Raw genomic sequence first — 5140 nt, 5'->3', positions numbered from 1 at the left:
ATATCTAGAAGTAATTCCATGACAAATAGTGGGGCTATGTAGAAAACCCTGGGACAACACATGGACTCTCCATTATTGACCATTCCAAGTAAAAGGGAATTGATCCCATGTGTCAGGGTATAAAGCAATAATGAAGAAAGCATTGGCCAAGTCTAATATAGCATGGCAAGTGCCTAGAGTTTGTATTAGTTGTTCTATCACTTGAGCTATATTAGGAATACCAGCATGTATCTCAGGAATCACCTTATTTAATTTCTGGAAGCCTACTCTCATGTGCCAGGTGCCATCAAGTTTCCTTACCTGTCACATAAGACTGAAAGAACTCAGCTGGCCATATAATATTAACTTCAACAAGCTTCTGTACCGTGGCTGTAATCTCTTCCATCCCACCAGGAAGATGGTAGTGTATCATACTGATAATGCACCCTAGGGGAGGGATGTATATAGGTTCCCATTTTGATTCCCTTCTCAAAATAGCTTTTACTGCCCAAACTTGTGTGGAATTCTCCCAAAGATATTTGTAAAGTTGAAACCAAAGTCTAATCTTTTTAGTCACTTGCTTCTTATAGAGTTTTTTAACCCACACAGCTGAAAGCCATACTGCCAAATGCTATAACTTGGTCTTCACTAGCTTCCTTATAGATAACACCTCTGATGTATATGTCACCATGGTAACAATTGTTTGCTTTTTCAGGAACTTAGGGGCAGCCTTTGTCCAGCTTGAACTGGTTGAGACCACCAACCCTTCAACTGAGTCTGTTCAAATGCCCAAGCGACCTTTTAATGTCATAGGGCCAAAAACTTCTCCCTCAGATCCTGCTAATACTGCCATTTTCTGAATATGTGTCCTATGAAGATCTATGAACTCCGAATATGTTTGCGCAGATCACCAATTACCTCATTTACCTCCATTGCTAATCACCTTTTCCCACACCTTAGACCATTCTGCTTTTTTATCCCATAAATATTCCAAGCCCTATCTACAGAAAGGCAGATTTGAGAGCTATTATGTCATCTCCTGACTGGGTGGCCCTGTGAATAAATCTTTTCTGTATTGCAAAACTCACTAATCAGTGATTGGCTTTCCATGCAACTGGCAGAATGGGCCTAGTTTTGTATCAAAGTTCATCCTAAAAGGATGTCCATACCAAAGATATTTTCTGGAATAGGTGAGATTAAAACAGTATACTAACCGGGGGGACTCCACTCAACACCAAGGAGGAGAGGAGTTTGTTTTACTCAGATTGTTCACCCCTGTAATAATCTATAGCTGCCCAATTACCAGGGTATATCTCTGGATTTCCATGAATTAAGATACAGTCTACATCTGTGTCTATTAACGTTAAGGTTCTTTGTTTTTTTTGAAGTCCACTAGATTTTGAGCTTCACATGGCACCTCTAGTTGCCCCCTGTTGCTCACAAATGGAAGCAACCTTAGCCCTACCCCTAGTCTCCAGGCTGGGGAGGCTTCCACCTCTGGAACATGGTAATTGAAGTAATTTTATGTAAAGTTTCTTTTCTTTTGGTGGGGCACTAAGAAGGAGTCTAAACTAATGATCAGGAGGAGGTCTTTCCAAAGGCCCACTAATATGGCATTGGGTTGCTGGTCTATGTTTTTCTTTGTCTAGCACAGGTGAGATCAGATCATACCACACTTGTTTCCTGGTAATCCTATCTGGGCCTTTTAGACCTCCTTTTTTCAGGCTGGCAGGTTTGGCTTCTCCATTTTTTCCTTTTTCTTTAGTAACCAGTTGGACCTTATCTCTTCACTTTTCAGTTTCTCCAGGATCAGCTATAGCTTCCTCCATATTATATACATCTTGTCTCACAAGGGAGCTCAAGAAGGATATGAAAGAACCATGCCAATCATAAAGGGCACCTTGCAATGACTGATTTTTATGCCCATGGCAAACACAACTTTATCTGGTCCTAAAGTTGTTAGGCATATATGACCTGATGCTTGCCAAACTCCCATAAATCGCCCTGTGCTTTCTCCAGATATTTTCATGCTGAAATCTGACCCAGGAAGTCATTTGGCCAAGCCTCCATCATAGCCAAGATAATCCAGTCCGTAAGACTATGATTGCCCTCAAGAATTCTAGCATTATGCAAATGTTTCCTCAAAGGAGGATGAGAGGTTATATTACTAATTTTTTCAGCTTCACTCCCTGCTAGGGAAATGCCATCCACACCAGTATCCCATACTGCACCATCCATGTGGCTATGCCTTCTCTCAGCAACTACGCAAACATTTTTCCTATGTACAATAATTCTGCCAAGATGTACTCTCAGACAGTTAAGTTTTCTGAAAAGGCTGTCTGATATTGCCCAGCTGCATGTGTTAGGCATTTGCTTTCTGCTGTATGAGCGGTCTTGCTCTCAAAAAGGGAGGTTGGTTATCCTCTCCCTCCCTGAAAGAACCTATGTGTCTTCATCTGACTCACCAATGGGTCCCCACAAATTTCAGGTCTTAACATTCCAGTCCATAGACCTAAAACCATAAAAAACCCTAGAAGAAAACCTAGGCAATACTATTCAGGACATACGCATGGGCAAAGACTTCATGTCTAAAACACCAAAAGCAATGACAACAAAAGCCAAAATTGACAAATGGGATCTAATTAAACTAAAGAGCTTCTGCACAGCAAAAGAAACTACCATCAGAGTGAACAGGCAACCTACAAAATCGGAGAAAATTTTTGCAACCTACTCATCTGACAAAGGGCTAATATCCAGAATCTACAATGAACTCAAACAAATTTACAAGAAAAAAACAAACAACCCCATCAAAAAGTGGGCGAAGGATACCAACAGACACTTCTCAAAAGAAAACATTTATGCAGCCAAAAAACACATGAGAAAATGCTCATCATTACTGGCCATCAGAGAAATGCAAATCAAAATCACAATGAGATACCATCTCACACCAGTTAGAATGGCGATCATTAAAAAGTCAGGAAATAACAGGTGCTGGAGAGGATGTGGAGAAATAGGAACACTTTTACACTGTTGGTGGGACTGTAAACTAGTTCAACCATTGTGGAAGTCGGTGTGGTGATTCCTCAGGGATCTAGAACTAGAAATACCATTTGACCCAGCCATCCCATTACTGGGTATATACCCAAAGGATTATAAATCATGCTGCTATAAAGACACATGCACACGTATGTTTATTGCAGCACTATTCACAATAGCAAAGACTTGGAACCAACCTAAATGTCCAAAAATGATAGACTGGATTAAGAAAATGTGGCACATATACACCATGGAATACTGTGCAGCCATAAAAAATGATGAGTTCATGTCCTTTGTAGGGACATGGATGAAACTGGAAACCATCATTTTCAGCAAACTATTGCAAGGACGAAAAACCAAACACCGCATATTCTTACTCATAGGTGGGAATTGAACAATGAGAACACATGGACACAGGAAGGGAAACATCACACACCAGGGACTGTTGTGGGGTGTGGGGAGGGGGGAGGGATAGCATTAGGAGATATACCTAATGTTAAATGATGAGTTAATGGGTGCAGCACACCAACATGGCACATGTATACATAGGTAACAAACCTGCACGTTGTGCACATGTACCCTAAAACTTAAAGTATAATAATAATAAAATTAAAAAAAAAAACAAAAAAATTCCAGTCCAGTTTAGCAAGGACCACTCACACATTTGGCCAGTGCAGCTTCCTTCCTCCCTGGAAAACACAGCAGTAGGCTAGGATTTCCAATTGTGACTTTGAGTTTCGAGCTTATCCATCAGATTAGATGCTAACATGGATGTGAAATTTCTCATTTTTTTTCTAATTGTAATACTTTCTCTAGCTTTTGTACCTTCATCTCAGCTGCTAACTACACTTCTGTGGCCACTTGCAAATCTGTAACAGTGGCCAACCTACTGTTGACACCACCTAGCAACCTTCATTACCCCAGTGGTCAGACAGCTTTCTACTAGCAACCATTCTAGACCCGTTGGCACTTTTGAGGTGTTACCCTACTCACACAGTGGTCTACAGGCATCTAGTAAACAGAAAACATCATTCCATATAGATGAAGAGGACCACTCTGGAATTTCTTCTACTGATGTGTCCTTACTCTTGCCCAAACTTTGGTTCCTAGTCTCCTCCTGCATGGATTTCCAATTATTTTGTGAAAGGAACATATATGCAAAATGACCCCCCAAATGGGGAAGGAGTCATAAAACCAAAGAACAAGGGAGACAAATCCAGTTTGTGGGCAGAAGATGATTTATCGGGAAACTTATGGACAGACATATGGTCTTCAGTGGCAGCAAGACAGACAGATCGCCACACTGTTATTCCCAGGGCTTATAGACAATAGGGAAATACTGTATGTGCTCTATACAGACAATTAAAGGTGATGCTCCAGAACAGACAAGAATGCTATGTCTGTCATGGCCTATCATTCGTGTGATGACATTAAAATTGCTTTGATCTGGCCGGGTGCAGTGGCTCATGCCTGTAATCCTAGCACTTTGGGAGGTCAAGGCGGGTGGATCATGAGGTCAGGAGATCGAGATCATCCTGGCTAACACAGTGAACCCCATCTCTACTAAAAATACAAAAAATTAGCCTGGCATGGTGGGACACGCTTGTAGTCCCAGTTACTCGGGAGGCTGAGGCAGGAGAATCACTTGAACCTGGGAGGCATAGGTTGCAGTAAGCTGAGATCATGCCACTGCACTCCAGCCTGGGCAACACAGCAAGATTCCATCTAAAAAAAAATTGCTTTGATCTAAGGGCAGGATACATGATGAGTACATGTTCTTACATGAGAGATGGTAAATAAAGTAGAAATCAAGAGACATACCCAGGATTGGGGTTAATCAGCAGTCAACATGGTAGATTAGCATCCAAGATGAAGTCACTTTTATTTCCACAAGTTGGGAGACATCTCTGTCTGTCTGTATGTCAAGAGTTTGGTGATCCTTGGATGAAGCTTATCTTACAATACAGAATTCTTTTGTCTGTGTCCTGGGTTATCTTGCCTCCCTAGAAGGTAAAGAAGGTTCTGATTCAACTTATTTACTGAGAGGTATATTCAGATTTGAGGGCAGCATCTTCCTAGGGCATCTTTCTATGCAGACTTGTTGAAGAGGCCTCAGTTTTTACAG

This window comes from Homo sapiens, chromosome 11 (assembly GCF_000001405.40).
Source record: "Homo sapiens chromosome 11, GRCh38.p14 Primary Assembly".
Lineage (NCBI taxonomy): Eukaryota > Metazoa > Chordata > Mammalia > Primates > Hominidae > Homo > Homo sapiens.
The sequence above is the reverse complement of the archived record's forward strand: the minus strand, read 5'-3'. Positions refer to the sequence as shown.